The sequence below is a fragment of the Homo sapiens genome, chromosome 10 (genome assembly GCF_000001405.40).
Source record: "Homo sapiens chromosome 10, GRCh38.p14 Primary Assembly".
NCBI classification, from domain to species: domain Eukaryota; kingdom Metazoa; phylum Chordata; class Mammalia; order Primates; family Hominidae; genus Homo; species Homo sapiens.
The window spans coordinates 125,759,421-125,785,455 of NC_000010.11; the positions used below are offsets into that span (position 1 = coordinate 125,759,421).

General features: G+C 47.9%; 3 protein-coding genes across 9 annotated transcripts in view, besides 1 other annotated feature; 1 reads left to right on the top strand and 2 right to left on the bottom strand.

The window, feature by feature from the left end:
- Positions 1 to 4,719, top strand: part of EDRF1 (erythroid differentiation regulatory factor 1) — a 44,431-nt gene extending 39,712 nt beyond the window's left edge. For 5 of the 6 annotated variants that reach the window (NR_110858.2, NR_110857.2, NM_001202438.2 and 2 more), the window contains one exon: positions 3,881 to 4,719. Coding sequence is in view for 3 of the 6 variants with exons in the window: in NM_001202438.2 (NP_001189367.1) it covers positions 3,881 to 4,052 (172 nt within the window). In the remaining 3 variants the exon portion in view is untranslated. The remainder of the gene's footprint in view (positions 1 to 3,880) is intronic. The other variant, NR_110859.2, reaches the window with a different exon arrangement.
- MMP21 (matrix metallopeptidase 21) lies at positions 7,033 to 16,401 on the bottom strand. The gene is made up of 7 exons (NM_147191.1): positions 16,240 to 16,401; positions 14,411 to 14,945; positions 13,191 to 13,330; positions 12,798 to 12,939; positions 10,914 to 11,171; positions 8,112 to 8,284; positions 7,033 to 7,541 (listed from the first exon to the last, which is right to left on the bottom strand). Exons 1-7 carry the CDS (start codon positions 16,399 to 16,401, stop codon positions 7,242 to 7,244), a joined length of 1,710 nt encoding a protein of 569 aa, NP_671724.1. The 3' UTR covers positions 7,033 to 7,241.
- Positions 24,548 to 24,607: a silencer, noted in NCBI's record as "silent region_2924". NCBI's record gives its function as "represses an Ori minimal core promoter by ATAC-STARR-seq in GM12878 lymphoblastoid cells {active_cell/tissue: GM12878}" and the evidence as "EXISTENCE:reporter gene assay evidence [ECO:0000049][PMID:35858748]".
- UROS (uroporphyrinogen III synthase) overlaps positions 25,560 to 26,035 on the bottom strand; it is a 38,279-nt gene continuing 37,803 nt past the window's right edge. For both annotated transcript variants that reach the window (NR_136677.2, XM_011540127.3), the window contains one exon: positions 25,560 to 25,840. Coding sequence is in view for 1 of the 2 variants with exons in the window: in XM_011540127.3 (XP_011538429.1) it covers positions 25,796 to 25,840 (45 nt within the window). In the remaining variant the exon portion in view is untranslated. The remainder of the gene's footprint in view (positions 25,841 to 26,035) is intronic.

Consider the following 26,035-nt stretch of genomic DNA (forward strand, 5'->3'; position numbering starts at 1 on the left):
GCCAGAGACTTTTTCCGGTTCTGCACCATGAATAGAAACTTCTTTCAATAATTGCCTTTGAACTAAGTGCCATGGCTTACACCTGTGATCCCAGCTATTTGGGAGACTGAGGCAGGAGAATTACATGAACCCAGGAGTTCAAGGCCACAGCAAGCTCTGATGGCACCACTGCACTCCAGCCTGGGAGACAGAGCAAAACCCAACTCTTTAAAAAAAAGAAAAAAAATGGCTTTTGAATAATTCTCTATAGTCTAAGGAGAGCTTTTATTTGGTTGTGTGTGTTTTTATTTTTATTTATTTTTTTTTTTGAGACAGAGTCTCGCTCTGTCGCCCACGCTGGAGTGCAGTGGCGCAATCTCGGCTCACTGCAAGCTCCGCCTCCCAGGTTCACGCCATTCTCCTGCCTCAGCCTCCCGAGTAGCTGGGACTACAGGCATCCGCCACCACACCCGGCTAATTTTTTGTATTTTTAGTAGAGACGGGGTTTCACCGTGTTAGCCAGGATGGTCTCGATCTTCTGACCTCATGATCCACCTGCCTCAGCCTCCCAAAGTGCCGGGATTACAAGTGTGAGCCACCGCGCCTGGCCTTATTTGGTTGTTAATCCACAGTGTCTGCACCATATCCTGGTTGTGGTACACAGCAGCGGGTGTTGATACACTCACTGTAATTTAGCAGAGACATCCATCTTTTTGAAGAGCCCTAAGGCGGAGCAGATACTGCATATGGTAACAAGGCTTGGAAAGAATTCCTGCCTTTTTCTAACAGCAGTGGGTAAAGTTTTTAAATTTGTATTGGTTTCCACAAGATGGTAATATAAATATATGATACATGAGAAAAAGTGATTCATTGATTTTTCACAAGTCAATCATTTGAGTAATTGGTAATAGGTAATAGTTTCAGTTTTATCTTTTATAACTGTAACAGTCATATGTATGACCTAAGTAATTTTTATTTTAATGGAAGGTTTTCTAAGCTTCTGTTTATTTAGGTTATTAATATTCTGCTGAAAACTATTGTAATCTAAAGTTTTCATGCATGACACATACAATCTTATTTAGCTAATTTATATTGATTTTAAGGTTTATTAAACTTAAATGTGATAATGTGTTAATAAAATAAACACTTTGACAAGTTTCAAAACAAAAATATTAATTACTAAGTCAGTGACTATTTCATTTTTCACTGATGTGCAAATGAAAACATCTATAATTTTATTGTTAAGAGGAAAATACCCTCTGCCACAGGCTTAGTTGTTTCACAGTGAATACATGAACATTCTCTTTTGCAATATAGAGAGAAATCAGAATGAGACCTAAAAGAAAGAAAATGCAATCAGCCCTCTGTATCCAAGGATTCTGCATCCACAGATTCAACCAACCACAGACTGAAAATATTAAATAAATAAAAAATAATACAAATTTAAAAAGCAATATAGTATAACAACTATTTATATGGCATTGACATTGTATTAGGTATTATAAGTCATCTAGAGTTGATTTAAAGTATATAGGAAGATGTACACAGCCTAAATGCAAATGCTGCACCATTTTATATCAGGGACTCCAGCCTCCTCAAATTTTAGTTTCCTGGAGGGTCCTGGAACCAATCCTCCACAGATACTGAGAGGCCATGTTAAACAAATTTTTGTTTTATTTTTTGACTACTGCTTTTTCCACTTCATGCCCTCTGGCAAAAAAATAAACAAGGCTTAATAATTAAAATCTTAAGTTTATTAGATTCCTATAGAATTAGAGTGAAAGATGCATTTTACTTGTTTAAAAAAAATTTTTGTTTTCATTTTCAGGTGATGCAGGCATTTCATCATCATATGACAACTGCATTGGCATTGACCTGCTAGAAATTCTAGCAGTAGCAGTTTGTTAGGCCAAAGGTTTTCTCTTTTCTCTTTTTGAATTTAGAATTTACTCTTCTACTGTATTTTAATATTCATTGCTTTCACAGATCCAGGCCTCTTAACATTTTGGTGGCTTTGCGGTTTAATATAATGAAATACCATAAAAAGTAGAAGTAATCTCTGAAGATTCAGGGAGCTCTCTGCTGCAGTGCTAAGAACAGATCCTTTGGATTCATGGGTTGTTCCCATTAGATGTGTACATTTAATATTTTGTTAAGATTAGTAAAAAGGGAGATGAAAGAATGTAAGTTAGTTCCCTTTAGAAAAAGCCTGTGAGATGATGGAGCCCTCTGAATAGGGGTCATAGGTCAGTGAAACTGCTGATAAGAATGCATTAAGGAAGGCGTGATTTGTAGAAATTGGAAGATGAAGATTTAAGATTCAGAGTTATGGTTAGGACAAATCAAAAGATTTTAAGTTTATGATCCCTGCAGCCATCAATTATCTTTAGGCACCCAACTATTAATAAAATGACAGTGTGATGTCATTGTCCACAAAGAATAAGTCATCTTTCAAATGCCTTTTCTAATTGTTAAGTGCTAATGCCTTGATTACTGTCAGAGTAATTTAAATTTTCTATAAGATTATCAAAGGTTTTGTGACTGTTAACTCCCCACAAAACTAAAATCTAGCCAATCTTAGGCCCAGATTACAGATAGGGAATGCATTTGGAACAGTCACTTGCTGTACTGTGGTTGTTGGGGGAAGGCAGGAGGAGATTTGCCTGATAAAATAAGTGGGAATTGGAGGGGAGAAATGTCTAAAGGCAGCGATGGGGATCCTGTGGAGGAGGAATGGAGCCAGGAATAATAGAAAGGGGAACTCCTGGGGAAGGGAGCTCTGCATGCTGGCTGCTCTGTGGCAGGCCTGACTGGCAAGCCCTTGGGTGAAGGGAGAAAATTTGTACCCTGAAGAGGTGAAAGAGCATAGCATTTGAAATTGGAAAACATGACATTTTGACCTTAGTCCAAACTGTTAACCCTTCTGGGCCTTAGGTTTTACATCTGTAAATTCAAAATGCTAGTCCTTGCCTATCTGAGGGGATGGGATTATTGTAAGGCTCAGATGTGTTCATGGACACTGAAAAGAGTTGTGGAATTGTTACCTGGTATCTGGTTATGTGAGCCAGGGGTCTCCACCTGGACTCATTTAAAAAAAAAAAAAAAGATGCTAGATATGAACTGCCACGTAATTACTAGTCTTTTCCAGTAGTAACAAAAATAGAATTCACCGATCCATCATAAGGGGTAAATGTTTTCAGGACAAACTGTAAACTGAAATAGTTTTCAGGTAGAGTACTGTCTAGTACTCTTCAGCTGAGGGGCAGTCTTCACACAGAATTGCACTGACATTTTCAGAGTAAACTGAGATGCAGCAGTTCTTGTAATTCAGGAATCCATGTTTAAATCCTAGGTAGTTCTAGCTCTAGAGACGGCAGTACAACAGTGGCTTTAGATGTGTGTTTATGACACAGGAAGGCGCTTAGGCCGAGCTTGAGGAACAGAGGAAATACTGCATAGCTCCTTCTGTGCCCTCACCCGGCTCCACTGCATTTTCTTCATGGCCGTCCGTCTGTCACTCTCTTGTTTACTATGGTTTCCCCCAGTGCCTCCCCTCCCCTCCCCCAAACTCCTACCTCAATAGGATGCAAATTCCATAAGGCAGGGGCTTCTTTTTGCCTGTTTTGTTCTCTGTCAAGAGCAATTCCTAGTACATAATAGGCATTCAAATATTTATAAAAGGAATGAGTACTGGATTTCATTGATGTATTGAAATAAATGTGTAGAAACAGGCCCATGAGCAATATGTAAAAGAAGGCAGGTCTGAACCCGGCAGGAGAGGAATGCCTGCTGCTCTGTGAAGAGTGACTGTTGGGCTGTCACTGTCCGGTTTTCTGGACCTCTGAATTGTCGGTAGGCATTGCTGGTCCCTTACCTGTCTCTTTTTCTTTTTTAACCCTAGCAATAACATCGAAGATGACACAATTCTCAAAACCAACAAGCACATTTACTCCCAGCTTTTGAGAGCAACTGCAAATAAAACCGCGACTCTTCTGGAAAGAATCAACGTTATCGTCCACCTGCTGGGCCAGCTTGCCGCCGGCAGTGCAGCGAGCAGCAATGCCGTTCAGTGACTGCACAGAGCCGTGTCCCAGACACGCTGTCAGTGCCTTCAACACGGAGCCGGTTTGTTCATTCGGTGCTTTGTTTCATTAAATAATAGGGAAATATCCATTTAAAACAGGTATATCAGTGGAAACACAGAGTTATTTTAAGTGACAGACAAATTACGGTTGAGTTCTGTGGCTTCTTCACTTGAAGTGCTAACATCAGAATCAAACTTAAAGCTTCCACTATTTATGTCTTTGAGAAGTATGTAGTACCTCGGTATTAACAGACCTGCTGTGATGCAGTTACACTTTCACGTATTTTTGAAGTATGTCAAGCTACACGGGTCTAAGATATGATTATTTTGGATAAAATGTTACTTTGGTCAAGAGAACTTTTATCCAGATGACATTACAGGTTCAAGTGGGTTAAGGAGACCTCCTGTACATCTACAGTGTTTCCTTTTAAATTGTCCAGAAAAAAGGTGTGTTCTTCATAAGCTTCAGTGCAGGATTTTTCAAAGACGAGCTGTTGTGCAATTTGCTGTATTTAATGCATGTTCTGAAAGGATTCACTTTTGACTTTATATGACAGTTGATCAAGAACAGGTACTACCCCTTTTTTTCATTTCAAACTTGAAACTGTGAATAAGGTAAGAAAACTATTTTGAATAAATAAACTATTTATTTAAAATGTCTTTGTATTTTTCCAATTTCCATTCTTCACATTGAGTTTTGATTTGAACTCAGTCTAAAATTAATAAACTTTACAAAGCAAAGCTCAAAACATTAAAAGTAAAATTCTGCTGTCCACTAAATTCTCCCTAGAATATTTTACTTATTGCTGCTGCTACATGGCTCTTGTCCAGTTACACACAAACATCCCCTGTTCTTTGTAATGGCTACAGTGCACAAGGCTGTTTTCGTTCATAATTCATATTTTCAATTTCAAGACAGTGTAACAGATAAAACAGGCTCTTTCGAGGTGAGGTGAAGGTCTGGACTTCTGTGCATGACACCATTGTAGGTAGGTCTGCTGCGTAGGCCTGGGGGCAGGTGCACTGGAGATTCGGCCAGCTCCCTGCAGGCCCTCCATGGTGGCCAGAACCCGCTCCCACACCAGCCAGACCTCTGAAGGAATTCCAACTATACTAGAAAACTGTCTAGAAGACCTAGTTTTAAGCCGAATTTTTACAGAGCTATGATGTAAAAGAGACTTCTTTCTCTTTTACAGAGATTTTCAGGTGTTTTCATTGGCTGAGATTTTTTTGTTTGTTTTGAGACAGGGTCTCACTGTCACCCAGGCTGGAATGCAGTGGCACAATCTCAGCTTACTGCAACCTCTGCCTCCCAGGCTTAAGGGATCCTCCCAGCTCAGCCTCCCAAGTAGCTGTGACTACAGGTGTGCACCACCACGCCTGGCTAATTTTTTGTATTTTTAGTAGAGACAGGGTTTTGCCATGTTGCCCAAGCTGGTCTCGAACTCCTGAGCTCAAGGGATCCACCTGCCTCGGCCTCCCAAAGTGCTGGGATTATAGGCGTGAGCCACCACACCCAGCCTACTAACAGTGAGTTAACATCCATCATAGCTTAGCAGAATTCTCTCTTGCCATTTGTCCACTTGGTTGTTGTTTACTTAGTTTGCATTTTCCCTGGAACAGATTTGTATCGGTTTGCAACAATTAATCACTGAAACATTTAAAGTTTTGCCTAAATTGTAAAGCAGTTGTACGAATTCAGCAATGTTTCATTTCAGGACCACTGTCATTCCGTTTCCCCTTGTAGCAAGTGTACACACATCATAAAACTGTCTTTGCCCTGCTAGATAAACCTAGACACTTCTGTTGATTATAATGAAAGATGATATAGTATCTTTTGGGTTAATGAATTCAAAAGGATGTTCCTACTTAGGTAGGAATGAGCTGGGATTAGGGGTATGAGAGATGCTTATCTTTCCTCCCAGCCCCTCTCCTTGGTTGAAACAACCTTTCAGTCACGAGGAAAATTTGTTCTGAAGCAAGTAAGAATAAATTCTAGTTATCTTCCTTTGTCAAAGCAATAACATGAAAGTTCCTACAGGGGGGAATAAAGATCCTTATAAAATACATTTGTAACTTGCTGTTTTTAACTTAAAATTTCCTGAAGTACCTGTGTTTTAGCTATTCCTTTAGAAGAAGAAATTTGGTATTTGTGGCCTGATCATTGAGGCTACTGAATCCATTTCAGTTAATTTCAGATTTTGTTCACATCATTACAAATGACATTGGGTTTTTGTTTGGGTTAAGAGTTAATAGCCATATTATGTAAGAGTTAAAGGGATATAATGCCTATCCTAGATATAACTGATATTGGAGAAATAAAATTATCCAGCTAGCTTCAAGAGTCTCCTTTTGGTAGTCTGGTCTTTAGAACCTAAGTAAACTGTCATGTAAAGTGGTAGGAGAGAACACTAAATGAATTATAGTGAACCAGGAAAGCTGTTCTGTTCAGGGCCATTTGGGTTGCAGGCCTGTGTGTTCAAACAAGAGGGTGCAACTCACTGCAGGGCCCGAGACCACCACAGTGACACAGAGGAAGTGCAGAGGGCCCTGGGCTGGGATTTGGAGATGAGGACCCAGAGCTACCACTGGGTTTGACTTTTGGCAGGATACAAACAGATGAACTTTGGCTAATATGACTGGAAATGTGTACAGTAGTATCCATCCTGCCACGCTGACAGAGTTGTGAAGATCAAGAGAGAAATACACATGAAAACCTTTTGTACACTGTGTTTAGAGAAATGTCATTCTGACAGGGACTGTGGAGGGCAATTTATTTGAATCCTGTGACTTTCCCATTAAATCCCTCAGTAAAATCATCTCTGTGGCATCTCCTTCCTTGACAGCTTGACCCAGGGCTCTGGCCGCCCTTCCAACTCCCATCAGGTGGCCAAGCAGTTGGGATGGGCAGAGCCCCACAGAGTAGAAAGCAGGCAAAGATCATTGGATGCTTAGTTTTTGTTTTTTTGTTTTTTTAAACCTTTTAGTTTATGAATTATGTTTTGCCTGAGCAATTGTTTTTAAATCAAGTATTTTAAAAGTTCAACTAAGGCTTTTCCCATTGGGTTTTAACTTACAGTGCCATATTTTCTTCAGCTACTGAAAATCCGGTTTTCTTTGTAAACAGTATCAGAATTTTAGCGAAGTCCTATGACCCTCCATTTCCTACTTTTTCTTATTACATGTTCAGTGTGGAGATATGGACGTCACAAACATCAAACCACTTCTCTGAAATAAACTTTTTTGGAAATAAGCCATTAGCAGGAAGCCAGGAATTCTGTTGTTTGTCCTTGTCATTAACTACCTTCCAGTATGCATTGCCTTTGAAAAAGAAAATGGAGTTGTATGCATAGGAGTAATAAGCGGAATCTATATTTCTGAAAGGATGATTTTGTGGTATTACTGCTGGAAAAACTTCAGTAATCCTCTTTGGATAAGAATTAAGTACTCGATTTCTGTTGACATCAAATGCAAATACCTGCAAAGCAAATAAGATAGACTGGCTCTTCTGAAAATTATTAATATTTTTTGGTTAATTTATAACAATGAGATAAGTAACTCAAGACTTTGTACCAAATTCTTTAGACTTGAACTTCTTAATTTTCCATCATGCTCTGCCATTGCTATTTAGATCTGAAGTGAGTACACGTTTTTTGTTTTTTTTTTGGGCCCGGTCTCACTCTTGCCCAGGCTGGACTGGAGTGCAAGTGGTGCAATCACAGCTCACTGCAGCCTCAACCTCCCAGGCTCAAGTGATCCTCTTGCCTTAGCCTCCTAGGCAGCTGGGAACACAGGCACGTGCCACCACACCTGGATAATTTCTGTATTTTTTGTTGAGACCGAAACATGGGTTTCACCATGTTGCCCAGACTGGTCTCAAACTCCTGGGCTTAAGCGATCCGCCCACCTTGGCCTCCCAAAGTGCGGGATTACAGGCATGCGCCACTGTGGCAGGCCAAGTACAGCTTTTAAATATGAACTTGGTCATCTGACGAATCTCTATTAGGGATGACAGAAGCATTGCTAGGCTGAAGAGCCTTCTACTTACAAGGGACTCCTTGAAGAAGTAAATTAACTTCTGTCTTCGGTCATAAAACGCCGTGTCTAGGGGACTTGGGATGCCAGGAAATCCTTCTGAAATCAATTTGGGATAGCTTTTTCCTTGTTCATCTTCTGTGAGGGCCTGATCCTTGTCACTGTCATATCTCCAGTATTGATTTCCTGAGAGCCAAACAAAATACGTTCATGTGGTTTATTACTATTAAATCACGTGACAAAAAGGACAGTTTTCAATCTAGGTCTCAGCCAATCCTGTACAATGTGTTGCCATGATTCTAGGAGAAAACGGGGCTTTCGGCATCTGAGTGAAGCCTCCACTCCGCCATTTCCCCGCGTCTTGAATTACTCTTACATTTAACCCAGGAAGTGCATTTTTCTTGGCCGTCACTGCTGCAGTTGGAATGCTGGTTGCCTTTCACACCAAAGCAAACCCTGCCCCATGAACATCATCCTCCCGGCTCTCATCAAAAGCAAAAACAAAACAGCAAAAATCATGTCATTTTTACCTTAGTATCTTAATGTTTTTTTCTTCTTCCTTTATAGTCTAAAGATGTTCCTTTTAATGTTAGTGGCCCAAGGCTTGGAATCACTTTCGTATCCTAATCAATCTAAGTTCTTTTTTTACTGAAGAAATCATGATCCTTATCAGTGGATTATACCTTGAGTGTTTTAGAGTCCCCTAGTCCCACCACCACGCCCATCTTACAAATAAGGACACTGGAGTAGAGAGCTGAAGTGACTGGTCCACATTCAGACAGCCTAGGCTGAGCCAGGAATGCAAGCCAGGACTCTCAAATGCCACTCCAGAGAGGCTCCCCACTGTCCTGTGAAATGGAACTTTGCTCCATTTTGTTTCAGAGTTCAGATGCTCATTTCGTGCTCTAAATCAGTAGAAGCTTATTTTAGCTGCTTCTTGTTAGTTCCTAATCCTGGATATTTGGCATCTTGCCAACAGAATAGACTAGATCCACTTAGATGCTTTGGTGTTCACAGTTCACAGAACACCCCAAGCAGTACGTTCCTTAGCAACCAAATATTTAATATACTTGGAAAATTTCACCATTAACAGTGTGACGTTCATCCAGTTAGAGATGCAGTTCACTCTAACAGGAATTTCTTTTAATCCAAAATATTCATAGCAAATTAAGATGTTTTTAAAGCTCCAAGAATAAAATACAGCTGTATTGTAGCAGTTACCCTATGATGACCTAAATCTATAATTATGATTCTTTGAGTGTTGCCAACATAAATTCTAGTCTGGGACTTCTTAAAACCCTGAAAGATGTGCTTCCAACTCTGAAAGACCTGAACTATAAAAGTCAGCTGTAAGTCAGTTTTTTTATGTAACTGAAATAATTCTTCCTTTGTGTGATATGAAGGAAAACTGAGACCAGATTTATATACAGGATCCTTATGGTAAAATTTGCATATAAAGTTCATTCAGTTTGGCTCTCACCTTGTTAAGTCTTTTTGAGCAATTTAAAGCCCTATGGTTATATTACCAGGATTCAGGCAGAGGGGCTACACAACTTGTCTCTGGGTAGGAAAGGGGAAGGAAAAAGCAGTGACCCCAAAATCATGTTTATGATCGGACTCTGTGCTGTCTGGTTTTGCAAAGGCAGCGTGCCTCGTGCACCGGGTCCAGGGTACTGGATGAGACCGGGTGTGAATAAGGAGCAGCGGCAGTAAGAGTCCCAGACCTGCCTTTCTTGGTGTGTTCCCCATGACCCCCCAGGCTCCATCACATCAGTCTCTGTCTTCCAGCAAAACACTGACCTTCCATGTTGAGCAATTGCCATTGATGGCTCGTGGCCTGCTCAGTGAAGTCCAGCCCCGACCCTGGCATTCGAGGCCCTCCGTGGTTGGGCCAACCCGCCTTTCTAGCCTGACCTCATCCCGGGTAAGTCTGTCACCAGCTTTGATGGACCCCAGTCTCACAGCTCTGTGGCTTTTTCACTCCCAACCCCACGGCTTCGCTTCTGCTGCTCGTCTCTGACCACTTCCATGCCCTCATCCACTCTCCATTCTGGGTGCCTTTTTCTGGGCATCCCAGATCCCACCCATCCTTGAGTCTAGGCCACGACCTGATTCCTGGGGGCGCCAGCACCCAATTCCAGGTAGCAGTGATCACCTCTTCTGCTCGGTCTGCCCCTTAAAAACACTTCTGTTGCTAGATGTCCAAGGTATTTTTTTTTCCCTCCAGAACCAGATTAAAACTCCTGCAGGGCAGGGCCCTTTCTTACAGTTTTTTGGCAGCCACCTTAGTACCTAGGAAAGTTCATTCACTCATTCGGTGACTTAGTGCCGTCTTAAAAAGATCAGGGCCTGGGTGCAGTGGTTCACACCTGTAATCCCAACACTTTGAGAGGCCAAGGTGGGAAAGCGGCTTGAAGCCAGGAGTTCAAGACTAGCCTGGGCAACATAGTGAGACCCCATCTCTAAAAAAAAAAAATTGTTTTAATTAAGCCAGGTGTAGTGGTGCGTGCCTGTGGTCCCAGCTACTCAGGAGGCTGAGGTGGGAACAGCACTTGAGCCCGGGAGGTCAAGGCTGTAGTGAGCCGTGATTGTGCACTCCAGCCTGGGTAACAGTGAAACTCTGTCTCAGAAACAAAAAAAATGGAATACAACCCAATCCTTGTGCCCTCAGAGCTTCCAGTCTGATGGAGCAGACAGAAATTAAGCAAGTAATGACAAGAGCATTACAACAGATTCCTTGGTAGGGGCTCAAGACATTCCTTCTGAGTGCATTCGTTTAATGAGAGAAATAGAACCATCCATGAAGAATCTGTACCTTGAAAAAAATAACGTTCATCTCTTTTCCATGTCCAGATGTGAACAAAGGCATCTATGTTGTGTGTTGGGATTCCAGGCCAGCCAGTGAGGATTTGGATAGGGTCCCCATAGCGTGTCCTATTGTTTCGATTTTCATAAAGCCAGTACCAGCTGTTACGGAAGAAATATGTGCTAAATCTCACCATCACCTCTCCATATTGGTTTCTCTCTTTGCGAATCCAGTCAAACGCAGTATCAAATGATCCCTCACAGGAGCCTTAAAAAAACAAACAAAAAACAGCCACTTGTCACATACATGGTGCAAAACTTATATTTTCATATGTGACTTGAATGAAGACAGTTGCAAAGCTGGGGCTTTCTATAAAAACACCTTAAAGCAAGACACCATGTAAGGCTGAAGTGGGGCCAGGTGCAGTGGCGCATGCCTGTAATCCCAGCACCTTGGGAGACCGAGACAGGAGGATTGCTTGAGTTCAAGACCAGCCTGGGCAACATGGTGAAACCCAGTGTCTACAAAAAAAAAAAAAAATACAAAAAGTAGCCGGGCATGGTGGCACGTGCCTGTGGTCCCTTGGCACAGGTTACTTGGGAAGCTGAGGTGGGAGGATTGCTTGAGCCTGAGAAGTTGAGGCTGCAGTGAGCTGAGATCAGTCCACTACACTCCAGCTTGGGCGATAGAGTGAGACCCTATCTTGAAAAGAAAAAAAAACAGATTGAGGTGGTGCGCAGAGGGAGCTGGAGGTGCCAGGCTGCCTGCTACAGTCCTGGTTCACAGGCACATCCTGGCTTCATTCTTCACAGTGCCCCAGGCCACTCTCAGAAGCATCTCAGTTTGGTTGTGAAGTTATGTACGGTTGACCACCCTAAATATAGCTACTGAATGCCTCCCTTGACACCTTGATGGCAGTTTGACTTCATTAGAGGGAAGAAGTTTGATTCTGGGCTCATGTAAGAGTAAGATTTCCACTGGGGCAAGTCCGTGTGTCCTGGCTGTTGTTGTCTCCAAAGACACAGAGTGCTGAGAATGGGGGGATGTGAGAACAGAAATGGGGTGGTCTCTGTTAGGGACTATTTTTTTTTTTTTTTGAGATGGAGTCTCGCTCTGTCACCCAGGCTGGAGTGCAGTGGTGCAATCTTGGCTCACTGCAACCTCCACCTCATGGGTTCAAGCAATTCTCCTGCCTCAGCCTCCCAAGTAGCTGGGATTACAGGCGTGTGCCACCATGTCCGGCTAATTTTTGTATTTATGGTAGAGAAAGGGTTTCAACATGTTGGCCAGGCTGGTCTCGAACTTCTGACATCAAGAATCCGCCCACCTTGGCCTCCCAAAGTGCTGGGATTGCAGGCATGAGCCACTGTGCCCGGCCTAGGGACCTTTGAATGGAAAAGAGGAGGACAGCTTTCTTCCCTTGGGCCTCGGTACTAAATCACTAACCACTTTAATTAAATAATCAACCACTAGAACGTTTGGCCTGAACGATTCTAAATAGAGATTGGAGCTTATCCTGGCCAGGCTAAGCTCAGTTTTTTGGGATTGCAGTAAACTCCCAGGGCTTCCAGTGTGTGCGTCTCTGGTGGGATGCCACAGCACGGGTTGGGGGCCCGCTTGTGTTGAGAAAACCACCCCGCATTCACTGTCCTCCTGGGAAATGCATGTGGTGAGAGAGGACACAGGAGGGACTGGCTGTCGACTGGGCAAAACCACTTTTTAACTGAGAGAATGGCATCAGGGAGCTAGAGGGTGGCTACCCTTGGGTGACATGAGTTGTACAACGTTGCGCTCTTAGGCCCAGTTTCCCAGTGAGGAGTGAGCGGGGTCCTACAGTGCTCTGGAATACAGTGTCCTCCGCTAGCTCAGGGATGCCCTCCGCAGCAGTCTTACCATACAGCTTTTGAATTGCTTTCCTGTCTGACCAGTCCAACTCAAAGGCAGGCTCCTGGGGAATGTAATTTGGTTGCATTATGGATCCCGTCCTGTAGGTGTGAGGCAAGCCCAGGACATGGCCAATTTCATGGACGGCCACCTAGAAGGGGACACACACCATGGGTGCTGGGTGAAGCCTGGGCGATGGATCCCTGCATAACAGACGCAGGCCTGTGCTTCGAGAGGAGCGTTGCTTGTGAAGAGGGGAGCACCGGTGGAACTGGGGAGCCATTCCACGGATTCACCTCCTCAGAGGTTGCGGACACTACATGAGAAAAGCTTGGACTTTTTGGACGTCAGCCCATGAGCACTGCTGGTGTCTTATCAACACAGTGGCTCAGGACCACTGACCTTGAGAAGGCTGATGCCCGTGTCACTGGTGGGAGGTGTGAAGTGCTCGTCGTCGTCAAAGTGAATGTCACCTAGGCGCCAGGCGTGTGCAAACTCCTGCCCGCTCCCATCGAAGGCCCGCGGACAGCCCAGGTGCCGGCCTGGCGAGGGGGAGGAGGAGTTGGTCCCGGTGAAGGATGAGTGCCCCCCATACAGACTCCTCACCTAGGGGGTCCCCAGCCTCCAGGAGCCGGCAGCAGAGGTAGACAGAGTGGCAGCTCCTGGATTAAGTCCTCAATGTGCGGAGGGTGGGAGACGGTTTGTTTGTAAACTGTGTTTACAGTCCACAGACTGTCAGAGACCAGCAGGCACCAAGTGCCTGGGAGCAGAGGGGAGCGGGGCTGGGTGAGAGCCCGGCTGGGGGCCTGGGAAGATGGCAAAAAGGCCTCACCCGGACAAGATCGGGGCCGGATCCTCGCCTCTGCGGAGGTCGTGAAATATTGAAAGCTGGGTCCCTTAAAATTTGTCTTTTTCAGCCAACCGTGTCCCTATACTTCTCACCCTGGGACATTAACCCAGTGAGACCAGAAGACAGCCCTGAGCACCCCCGGGTCACAGATGGGGCTGCAAAGCGGCTTGTCTGCTTGCTGCTTGTCTCTGACCACTTCCATGCCCTCACCCACTCTCCATTCTGGGTGCCTTTTTGTGGGTATCCCAGATCCCACCCATCCTTGAGTCTAGGCCAAGACCGGATTCCTGGGGACGCCAGCACCCAATTTCAGGTGGCAGTGATCCTCTTCTGCTTGGTCTGCCCCTTAAAAACACTTCTGTTGCTAGACGTCCAAGGTATTTTGTCCCGCATTTGTCCAATTGTAAGACGGAGGTGGTGGCAACTTGTGCCTGACCCTGCCCTGTCCTGAGACCCCAGCTGCTGCTCCCTAGGGAAGCTGGAGGCACAGGCAGGGGGCCCGAGTGGGACTTTGAGGAGCAGCCCGGGCAGCAGCCTGTGCCCAGGGCCGGCCCTAGTGTCCCAGTAGGCCACACCAGGCTATCTGCAGGGTGACCATGATTCCGACAAGACGACGCTGACCGGTGGCTTCTGCCTGCCCCGCTGACAGGTGCCCCCGGGACAGGCCGGGAGGGCTTAGCCCCCCATTCTGCAGGTGGCCGAGGTGGGGGTAGGTGCGCCGGGGTCCCCGAGGGGCTGGGTCGGGCAGGCAGGGAGCCCGGGGTGCTCTTACCTCTCCCAAAGCCCAGCTTGATGTCGACCGCGGCCCCGGGGGCGGCCAGGTCCTCGCGGAAGTCCAGCGGCGTCACCTCGCTCCACATCCTGAAGGCCAGCGCCACAATGCGCCGCTGGTCGGCCACGGACAGTTGGCTGCTCAGGGCCTCGCCCAGCAGCCGCCAGCTCAGCGTCCTCTTGGAGAAGGCCTGGGCAGCTCCGCCGTCGGGGTAGCCCCGGGGCTGCCAACCCCGCCGGGACAAGGACAGCGGCGCCCGCGGGGAGCGCCTGGAGCGGGCTCTGGGGGGCGGGCCCGGGGGCGAAGGCGGGGCGGAGGGGGGCGGTGGGCGCATGTCCGGGACCCCGCAGCGCGGCCGGTTCATGGCCGCTAGGGTGGCCGCGTCCAGCTCCCCGCTGGCCGGCAGCGCGTTCGCCCGCTGGAACCTGCGCACCGCCTCGGCCAGGGCGGCGCCCTTGGGGGTCTCCGGCGGCCCCTCGGGACTGGGCCCCCAGGCCGCCCACACCCCTGACCAGCCGTATCTGGACAGGAACCGCTGTGGGAGAGAAAGGCACCCTAATCTGGGCCGCCTCGCTCGGGGCCCTCCCGGGCTGCCCTGCCCCAAAGTCTAGAGAGACAGAGACATGGGGATAGAGACAGAGACAGAGAGAAGCAGAGAGACAGACAGGGAGAAACAGATGGAGATAGCAATAGAAACAGGAAGACAGAGAGAGATAGAGATACAGAGAGAGCGGCAGTGAGAGACAGAGACAGGAGAGAGGTAGACAGGAGAGAAGGAGCGAGTCCTGGGCGCCTTCCTGAGTGCGGGCCCTGGATGGGCACCAGGCTGAGTCAGAGGCGCCCTAGGGCCGGAGGAGCAGGAGACCTGGGCAGCGGGGTGGGCGAGTGCCGGGAGGAGGTAAGAGGTCGCGGGGGAGGAAGACGCTCCCCCCGGCCTTGCGGGGCAGGTCGCGCAGGGCAGGTCGTGCGGGGCAGGTGGGGGGTGCCAAGGAAGTCCGGGCGTGGCCACACCGCAGAGAAAGCCATGGGAGGCACGTCCTGAGAGCTGGGAATTGGAACTGAGGGGCTTGGCAGTGGTTGGGTCTGAGGACCTGGGGGGCTTCCTCATGGCCGCACAGCGGGAGGGAGGTCAGCGGCCTCCACGCGGCTGCGGGCCTGGCCACAGGGCGGCTCTCCTGCTCCCTGCCCTGGCCTCTGGGGCACTGTGGGAGCTGGGGATTGGACTTGACCCTGAGCATCAGCTCCTGGCCTATGGTGACCAAAGGACCACGTGCCAGAGCAGGTGAAGGGGCCTCATGGGTCCACTCCCTGCCCGCCACCACGACTCTCTGGAGGAGGGGATCGCCTGCATTGGACCTCCTGGGTGCTTCACCACAGACTCCGGTGAAGTCCACGGATGCCACCCCAGACAGCTGTTAGGATCCTTACTATTGCGGTGTTGGGGAACCTTGCAGGGCTGTCCCCTTCTCTACATCCAGAGATTGGCATGGTGAGCAGCCACAGAATGCCTTCGGACAGTGCCTTGGCCACTACAGTATCACATGCTTGCCTTTGGAAAGGCACTTGGCATTTGAGTCTGTTGTCTGCGCACTGACATTTCTTTCTCACTAGGGCTGACCTGTGGGATTGTCGAATCAGGTTAAGCATCGATTCATGGTTGTTCCAATAGGAGCCACAGGAGCCACTCCTCCCTCTCAGCCCAGCCTGCCTGGCCCTTCTCTGCCTCTGCACAGCCGGCATCCTGGCCTGTGCCTGTGCGCGCGTGCGCATGTGCCTGTGTGCACGTGCACGGGCCTGGGGGTATTGCTGTTCTTCCAGCTTCCTCCTACCTGAGCAGCGTGGAGGTCGGCAATGGGCTTGGCCTGGCGCAGTGGGGACGGCTCCAGGTCCGAGCGGTCCCGGCTGTGGAAGAGACTCTCGGGCTGGGTGGGCCAGGGAGCAGCCAGCCAGCAGAGCAGCAGTGTCGGACGGAAGATGGAGGCGGCGAGCATTGGCCTGGTCTGAACCCTTGCCCTCCCTGCCTGGCTTCTTCCCCGTCCCCGTCACCTCTCCTTAAGGAGCAGGACCTAGGGTGGCTTTTATAAGCTACGCAGGAGGGAGCACCCAGGTTTCCAAGCATTTCTCACCCAGCCCTGAAGTGTGCCCGCTAGGAGGCCACGTGGCAGGCCCTGGGCGTGCTGCCTTTGAAGACCCCAGGCTCACCTTTCTTGTTGGTGTGAGAACTCCTTCTCTCAGCCTCCAGAGTTTGCCATGTCCTCCGATAATTACATCCTCCAGTTGCCAGTGCCTGTGGGTTCCATTTCTATGGAGATATACTGCGGGCAAGTTTGCCGCTAAATGAGCTGTGGAATTAACAGAGGCACGAGACTGCGCCCCTAACAACATGCCTCTCAGAGCTGAGCCTGAGTTTAAAAACCCTGACCGTTAGTTTGCTTACAGTTTGGGTCACTTTTTTTTTCTTGGTGAACTGGGGTTTGGAGATTTTTAGTTTGTTTCTCACACATTTTTTGTGTGGCTTTTCTTCTTTTTGTTTATCTTTATATAAAGGAGATCTTCTGAGCAGATAGTATAAATTGTAAAAGTACTGAGAATGAAGGAGACATTCTGTGATTCCGGTGGTGACATTTCAGTGAACATTCTTGCAGATACATATGCACAGATGCCTAGAGAAGTATTTGTGTGTGTCTCTCATTTTACATGAACTCTATTCTCTGTTCTTACAAGCCAGCACAACGTTACAGGCACTTTTCTGTTTCTGAATGTAAGTATTTATCGTTCTAGTTAATGACTGCACAGCGTCCCATTCTGTGGGTAAAGATTTTTATAGAAGGATAAACTAGAATCACCTCAGCCCACTACTTTTTCCCCTCATGGAGAAGCCTCAAGTTTCTTTGGGATCCTGAAGACAGAGCCCCTGAACTGGGCTTTTATCTGAGCAGATGTCCTCCTGAGAGTGCAGACTGACTGGGTCACAGCCGTCCATGGGAATATTGAGAATCATAGAAATACGGAGAGGCCAGGTGCAGTGGCTCAGACCCATAATCCCAGCGTTGCGGGAGGCTGAGGCAGGAGGACTGAGGCCAGGAGTTTGAGACAAGCAAGGGCAACAAAATGAGACCTCATTTCTATCAAAAAATGTTTAAAAATTAGCTTGGCATCGGCCGGGCGTGGTGGCTCACACCTATAATCCCAACACTTTAGGAAACCAAGGTGGGTGGATTGCTTGAATCCAGGAGTTCAAGACCAGCAAGAGTTCAAGACCAGCCTGGGCAACATGATGAAACCCCATCTCTACTAAAAATACAAAAATTAGCCAGGTGTAGTGGCATGCGTGCCAATAGTTCCAGCTACTTAGGGGAGCTGAGGCTGGAGGATCACTTGTGTCCAGGAGGTTAAGACTGAAATGAGCCGAGATCACGTCACTGCACAACAACTTGGATGACAGAATGAGACCCTGTTTCAAAAGGAAAAAAAAAGTGGATAGAGTGATGTGTGCCACTTGCAGGCCTGAACTCTAAGACCACCCTCCTATTCTCTGTGATTTCTCTTCCCTCAACTCCTGACCAGACGCAGAGCCTCCAGCAGAAGTGGCTTGGATCCCTGAATCCCCCTGTGGAAGGCCACCCTCAAACCCTTGACTGCTCTGTGACAGGAGCAAGAAACACAACTGTATTGCGTGGAGCCTAAGATTTGGGGTTGGTGGGTGCAGCAGTTAGACAACCCTAATACAGGCCACTAAATGCTTAGTCTGTCCCCAGAAGGACCTGTAACATGCTCCTCATTCCCTAACACCTGTCTCCAGTAGAGACTACAGCTTGCCCTTTCCTCCCTGGTGAAGGCTGCACAGGTCAAAGAGCAGGATGGGTTTTCCTGTCCCTGATGGCTGCCTCCACTCAGGGAAGTGCCCTGCTCCTGTGAGCCTCATGACAGTTTTCTGGGTCACTTCCAGCCTTCCTAGTAGCTGTCCTCTCCCCAAGACGCATTCGCCCCTTTTCTTGCAGGGTTCTCCTGTATTCCATGTCCTTCCATTGTCCTGGACCCTGGCATCCCTGTGAATGACTGGTGCATTGCTCTGACCTCCCTCTCCGTGACTGTGATCTGAAGATTCTCACCTCCACTCCACTCGAGTCACCCGTGGCCTGGCCTCGCCTGGCCCAGCCCTGGCACCCCCTGCACTGCTGCGCCTCTGATCCCACAGGCATAGGCAGCCCCTGATGCCCACCGCTGGCTCTCCTCGGAGCTTCTCACCCTCTTGTCCCTATCACTGGCCCTCTGACCCCCAACTGCACTGAGGGTCCTGAGGGTCCTTCTGCCTCACCCACCTAAGTTGTCTTGGATCCTTGGTTTTTACCCTGTCCAGCTCAGATCCCACAGATGCCGACCAAGCCCTTGCCTGAGAGCCTCCTACCACCCCTGCACTGGGGGCCGCACCCTGGGCGGATCTGGCTTTCTGTTTCCTCCATCTTGCTGAGCACTCATTTGCTCATCCATTTGCTCATCCATTTCCTTTAAACTCATGACTACAGCCCCTTCCCCGTGGGCTCCTGCACTGCACAGCAACCCCCGCATCTCCCACTTTCCTGAGTGTTTCCTTTCCTCCTCTCTTCTTGGTGGGTCACACACAGCCCTGAGGTGCTGACTCTCGGGGCAGGGGAAGGGCAGAGTATGAGAAGGAAAAAGTAAGTAGAGGTTCAGGTTCGCTGCAGGAATTTCTACCCCAGTATCCAGAGGGCTTGCAGGAAATGAATTAAAGTTCTTTGGGCACTGTGATTTTGCAGATGAGAACTGAGAATTTTATGTCAAAGGTCTCCAAGAAGAGCAGGTGTGCACAGGCCTGTGTGGGGCTATCCGTTAGTTATTCATTCAGTCATCATGCAGCAAATATTTATTACTGTCCTAGCGACAGGGAATACAGAAATGAACATGACGAATTCATTCCCTACCATATTAGTCAGGGTTCTCTAGAGGGACAGAATTAATAGGGTAGATATATTAAGTAGTATTAACTCACACGATCACAAAGTCCCACAATAGGCCATCTGTAAGCTGAGGAGCAAGGAAGCCAGTCTGAGTCCCAAAGCTGAAGAACTTGGAGTCCGATGTTCCAGGGCAGGAAGCATCCAGCACAGGAGAAAGATGCAGGCTGGGAGGCTAAGCCAGTCTAGTCTTTTCATGTTTTTCTGCCTGCTTTGTATTCTAGGAGCTGATTAGATGGTGCCCACCCAGATTAAGGGTGGGTCTGCCTGTCCCAGCCCACTGACCCAAATGCTAATCTCCTTTGGCAACACCCTCACAGACACACCCAGGATCAATACTTTACATCCTTCAATCGAATCAAGTGGACACTCAGTATTAACCATCACACCTACCCTCATGGAATGTAGATCCTAAGTAGGGAAGACAGACAATAAACAAAAAAGAAATGAAAAATTCCAATAGTGACAGGTGCTAGGAATAGAATTAGGGAAAGTGAGTGTCTATGGGGAAGAGTGAATGTTCAGGTGAGCAGGAAAGACCTCTTGTGCAGATGAAATCTGGGCAGTAGCAGAAAGATCAGAGGGACTCAGTCACATGTGACTGGGGGTTCGGGAGTGGTGTACATTTTAGGCCAGGAAAGGGCAAGTGCACAGGCCCTGAGGCTGGGACTGGCTGGGCAAACCTACAATAGTAGGGAAGAAAGAACAGCCTGGCTGGACATGAGTGGGAGGAGTGAGCTGGGAGGGGAGGATGAAGAGGAGCAGGTGAAGGTCAGATGGGGAAGGACCCATAGGGCAAATAAGGAGTCTGGGTTCACTGTAAGTTCAGGTGGAACATTTTGAGTGGACAATGCCAGGACTGGCTACTTATTAAAGAACCTCTGTGCAGTTCTGAGGTTGGTGTAGGCTGTGCCTCCTGGGGTGAAACCCTCTGGCTATCATCAACTCCTCTCTGTTTTTCTGACTGTGCCGCACCCTAGAACACTTTCCTGGGCTCTAGGACACCGGGCTTTCCGGGGAAGGCACAGTCCTACACTGTGACCCAGGGGATCCATTCCTCATTGGGCCCACACCGAATGCTGTGGGGGAAAGGTGGGACCTGGGATGCTGGGAAGGGGTGCTCAGGAGGAGCTTGGGCACCCACCACGATCCTTGTTCTGTTTGAAGACTGGCAGTTCTGTCCATTCCACCAGCTCTGGTCAAAGACTGTGCTTCTGAAAGTCAAATCTGAAAAGTTGCATGACAGCTCTCCCCAGTGGGGTAAGATGATTCCCCTTTGGGATTACTGTGGCTTAAACGTTTGTGTTCCCTCCACAATTCATGTTGAAACTTAATCCCCAGTGCAACCGTATTAAGAGGTGGGGCCTTGAGGAGGTGATTGAATCATAAGGCTCTACCATCCTGCCCTTAGAAGCCAGGCTTCAGAGAGCATTCAGCCCTTTGCCCGTCTGCCATATGAGGACACAGTGTTCAAGGCACCATCTGGCAACAGAAACCAGGCCCTCGTCAGACATCAAGTCTTGCTCTTGGACTTGCCAGCCTCCAGAACTGTGAAAATTTTTATTATTTATAAATGACCCAGTCTCAGGTGTTTTGGTATAGCATCACAAATGGACTAAGACAGAGATCACAGGCTTGAGGGCTTCATTACTGAAGGGTCTTGTTCCCTAAAGTTATTATTCTTTAAGAAACTTTATGGTGCGGTGGCCTCATGCAGCTTGGGTGCTTGACTTGGGGAAGTATGTTCACCATGTGGATGTTTGCTCTTCTTTTGGAGGATTCTTCTCTCCGATTATTACTAAGCTTTGGAATGTACTGGCTGCTCAAGGCTGAGAATGTTTGATTAACCAAATTGCTCACTCCAGGTTAATTGGATTTCAAGGAAATCAATTGGATTTAGGAGGGAAAATGTCAGAGGAAGACACGTGACCTACAATAAAGACAACATGAGGGACAGGGGCTCCCGCACAAACTGGTTCCTGGTCTGTGCAGACCACCTCCCGTTCCTGAGGCGGGGCAAGGCTTTGGCTTGGAGCTTCTACAATCTCTGTAAGCCATGACATGCGTAACCTAATTGTCAGCGGGAGAACTGAAGTTTTTTTCCCCTAAAACATTCATCATTTACAAAGTGGATTTGCTTTTTTTTTTTTTTTTTTGAGATAGGGTCTCACTTTGTTACCCAGGCTGAGGAGCAGTGGCACAGTCACAGCTCAACTGCAGCCGTGACTTCTCTGGCTCAAGTGATCTTCCCACCTCAGCCTCCCGCAAGTAGCTGGGACTACAGGTGTGAGCCACCGTGCCCAGCTAATTTTTGTATGTTTTTGTAGAGGTATGGTTTTGCCATGTTGTCCAGGCTGGTCTTGAACTCCTGGGCTCAAGCAATCTGCCCACCTCGGCCTCCCAAAGTGTTGGGATTACAGGCATGAGCCACTGCACCCAGCCTGGATTTGCATATTCTTAGTATAGTTGGACAATAATATTTGGAAACAGTCATTCCCACAGGAGATCTTTGAGCCTTATGTTCAATGAGGGGTCAGTTCTGACTCTGAAAGTGAGCAGAGCTCAGGGGGCCCAGGTGCTGGGGAGTGATGCCATCAGCACCAGGGCAGGCCTGTTGTTTCCAGCTGCATAGCGTGCCTGAGACAGAAAGACCCTTCCCAGTGTCTGTCCTGATTCCCTTCTTTCCAGACTGCATTTTGGTCTCTTTTCATCCACAAATAAACCCTTTTCCCCATCTCTGGGCCGGCATAGGACCCTCGGCCTCCCTGGGGAGAACTGCTTGTGTTTTACACACATGAGAGTCTGCGTTTGGGGCTTGTTCCTCCCTGCAAAGGATGCACATGGAGGCTGCTCAGTGGTTGCGGGAGGGAGGCCCCGCTCACTACCCACCTGCACTTCTCTGCCAAGGCACACCCAGGCCTCCTGGCCTCCGGATGAGAATTATGCTCATCGTTGCTGGTGGTATCCCTCAGAAAGCTCCCAACTGGTTCTGCTCTGAGAGTGGGGCCTTCTGATGAGGAGATGCCCGCAGTCTGCTGGTCAAACCCAGCTCTTCTCAGGGCAGCTGCCAGGGCAACAGCAATGACACCAGTTGAGAAGCTGAGATTTCCCAAGCACGATGGTAAATTCTGTATGTCAGTGTGACGGGGCCAAGGGATGGCCACAGACCTGGTAAAACACTGTTCCTGGGTGTGTCTGTGAGGGTGTTCTACGAGAGATGAGCATTTAAATTAGTAAAGAAGAGCCAGCCTCACCCGCAGGCAGGAGTCATCCAGTCCACTGAGGGCTCGAGGAGAACGAAAAGGCCGACGAAGGGCAAATCCTCCCACTTCCTGAGCTGGGACATTCATCTTCTTTGTCCCTTGAATCCTGTCTATCCAGGTTCCCAGGCCCTCAGAGCCCAGGACTTACAGAAGCACTGCCTTCTCGCACTGCCTTCTCCCCAGGCCTTCTTCAGACGCGGACTGGAAGTCACACCACCAGCTCCCCGGCTCTCAGCCTCCAGGCTCAGGCTGAACTGCAAGCACTGGCTTTCCTGGGTCTCCAGCTTGCGGCCCACAGATGCTGGCCTCCTCGGCCTCCAGAATTATGTGAGCCAATTCCCCTAAGTGCCCCCTAGTCTGTCTGTCTGTCTGTCTGTCTCTCTCTCTCTCTCTGTCCATCTATCCCATTGGTTCTGTTTCTCTGGAGAACCCTAATACATTGAGAGAGAGGACCCCAGAAGCAGACCAGACGCAGAGGGAAGAGGAAGCGGTCTGGCCTGGCTCAGAGATGGGATCTGGCTGGTTACGTGGGACTCCTTTCCGTCTCTGGAAATGCAATTTTTACAGGACTTGGGGGTGTTTGGGTGAGAGGTGAGGAAAAAGTTACGAACTCCCCAGGTCCAGAAATTTAGTCACACGCTGAACACTCAGTAAAGTAACTCAGTGAGTCAGCTTGGTGACAGGCCCCATGAGTGTGAAGCATGCAGAATTTTCCATGCAGATTAAAGCCCCTGTCGCCGAGGTTACACGGCAAAGCTCAACCCACTGCTGCTAGACCCATCTGCTGGCCTCTCTCCCATCTGCACCACGTGGCCCCTGGCTCCCGTCACCCCCCATACTCCTGAAAAGCTGCTACACATGCGCCGCCCCTGAGGGACCCATCAGGCTGAGAACAAGAACCAGCTCTTTCCATAACCGCACCACGCCTGGGTCTCTCTGCTGGCTTGGGGAGGGGACACAGGTTACATGTCAGAGGGTCCAGAGGCTTAGAGGTGGACACGGTACCCTGGAGAAGGGTGTAGGAAGGAACCATCTCAGGCCCAGGCCCAGTTTCTGTCCTGCCGCCGAAAGCGGGTTGACGCTGAGGAGTCTCTACCCTGTCGTCGGAGCATCAGTTTCCCATCCGTTAAGAGAGTTTGAGCTGCTGCCTCCAGATGTGTTCACCACTGAGAAAAGTGTTGCTACAGCCCATTGGAGGGTCAATAGCTTAATGCGGTGATTAACAAACACCGTGTAAAATGTTCTGAGAAATAAATAATATTGCTCATGATTTGCTTCTGGGGCTGAGAGGAGAAGCTTATCTGGGAAAAGCATCGCTGATGGTAAAGGCAGGATTCCGATCATTACCCCCCACACCTATGAGTCCTAGGCCTCTGCTAGGGGCTCAGGGAGCAGAGACAAGCACAGGTCCAGCTCTCAGGAGCCCACAAACACCCTGAGAAGAACAAGGTCTCAGAATGTCAGAGAGGTGGAGTGACCACAGCTTGGAGCTGCGCATACACACGGGCTGTGGGCAGTCAAGCCAGGCTGAAAAGGGGGCTTGGAGGCCATGCCGAGGAACATGACCCCCGTCCTGCAGTCCTGGGGAGCCCCGCCAAGGGGAGGTGGACTCCAGCGTTCCCGTGGGAACACTCTCTCATCTAACTCTCTCTCAGCCCTTGGTCAGCAAAGTTTCAATCTGCCTCCACCTCACTTAACCTTGTGTATGGCATTAAATTCCTCCAAGTCCAGTTTTTCTTGTCCCCAAAATGCAGGTAATAGGACCCACCTGATAGGGCTATTTTGAGGATTAAATGAGATGTTGAGGGGAAATGTTTAAGTCTCTTTTAATTCAGAGTGTTAAGTTTAGCCTAAAGCTGCCTCCTTACATGTTTTAAGTTCAGCCTAAAGAATTCTCCGTATACAGTGAACTGTAACCTAAATAGTTACAGCTATGGGTACAAGAGTAGGTTACAGCCTGTTTGTAGGATACAGCTTGGGCTCTGTCCTAGATGTGTAAACAGGCTGTAACCTACTCTTGTACCAATCACTGAATTTCAGCCAATCAGAGGTGGCCAACTGCTCAAACCCTGTTCAAATAAGGCAAATGCCGAGATGTAACCAATTCAGCTGTTTCTGCATCTCACTTCCATTTTCTGTACGTCACTTTCCCTTTACTGTCCATAAATCTTCAACCACGAGGCAGCGCCCCAGCCTCTCTGAACCTTTCTGGTTTAGGGGCTGCCCCATTCGCAAATCATTCTTTGCTCAATTAAACTCTCTCAAATGTAATTTGTCTAAGGTTTTCTTTTAACAAGAGATAAATATGATAAAAGACTACATTTCTCCTGTAAGCACTGTGCATACCTTCCAAGCAGTAGGGTGCTTACCAGTAAGAACGAAAGAAACTGTCCAAGCAAATGCATTCCTGCAGCTTTTGTAGGTTTTATCAGTATTTTGTGAAAATGAGAATTCTGCTGCTGAAGTCTTTTTGTTGTTTCAGTTGCTTTTCAAACACTTTATATAATTGCACAAGGCATAAATCTATAAATAATATGCAAATACACAGCTTAAAATTGAACTTGATAAAAAGATTCAACAGTAAGTATATGAGGGACTTCTAGTAACCAAACTTTTCTTTTTTTTTTTTTTTTTTTGAGATGGAGTCTCGCTCTGTCACCCAGGCTAGAGTGCAGTGGCGCCATCTTGGCTCACTGCAACCTCCGCCTCCCAAGTTCAAGCAATTCTCCTGTCTCAGCCTCCTGAATAGCTGGGATTACATATGTGCACCACCATACCCAGCTAAGTTTCTGAATTTTTAGTAGAGATGGGGTTTCGCCATGTCAGCCAGGCTGATCTCGAAGCGATCCACCCGCCTCGGCCTCTTGAAGTGCTGGGATTACAGGCATGAGCCACTGCACCAGGCCAAGATTTTCTTAAAAGGGCATTTTATTCAAACTCGGAAACGGTTTATCTTGATGTTTACTCTACCAATTCACTTGATTATTTTATCATTTAGATTTGATTGTAAAAGAAAAAATCTCGTAGTAATAGTGGCTTAAACAAGATAGAAGTCGATATGTCTTTTACACTCAAGAAGTCTAGAGTTGGGATAGTTTTTGTGCCCACAGTGTCACCTTGTTCCAGAAAACTTTCTTTCCCCAATGTCATCTCAGGGCCCAAGATGCCCACTGGAGCTCCAGCTCTTCGATCTGTATTTCAGGAAGAAGGAAGAATGATGTCAGAGGTGTGCATCTCACTACATCCCCTTGGCTACAACTTAATCACACTCTCATGCCTGCCTGCGAAGGAAGCTGGGAAATGTAGTTCTTATTCCAAATGACCACGTACTTTGCTGAATATCAAGGATTCTTGTTCCAGAGTAATGAATATTGAGACCACCTCAC

Bases quoted from the DNA above. Each gene is read 5' to 3' on its own strand.
- MMP21 (NM_147191.1), bottom strand. From the start codon at position 16,401: ATGCTCGCCGCCTCCATCTTCCGTCCGACACTGCTGCTCTGCTGGCTG. The intron at 13,331-14,410 runs GTAAGAGCACCC...CCCCCTCGCCAG, and splicing joins CAAGCTGGGCTTTGGGAGAG to GCCGGCACCTGGGCTGTCCG. The intron at 11,172-12,797 runs GTAAGACTGCTG...TGTTTTTTTAAG, and splicing joins AGCAATTCAAAAGCTGTATG to GCTCCTGTGAGGGATCATTT.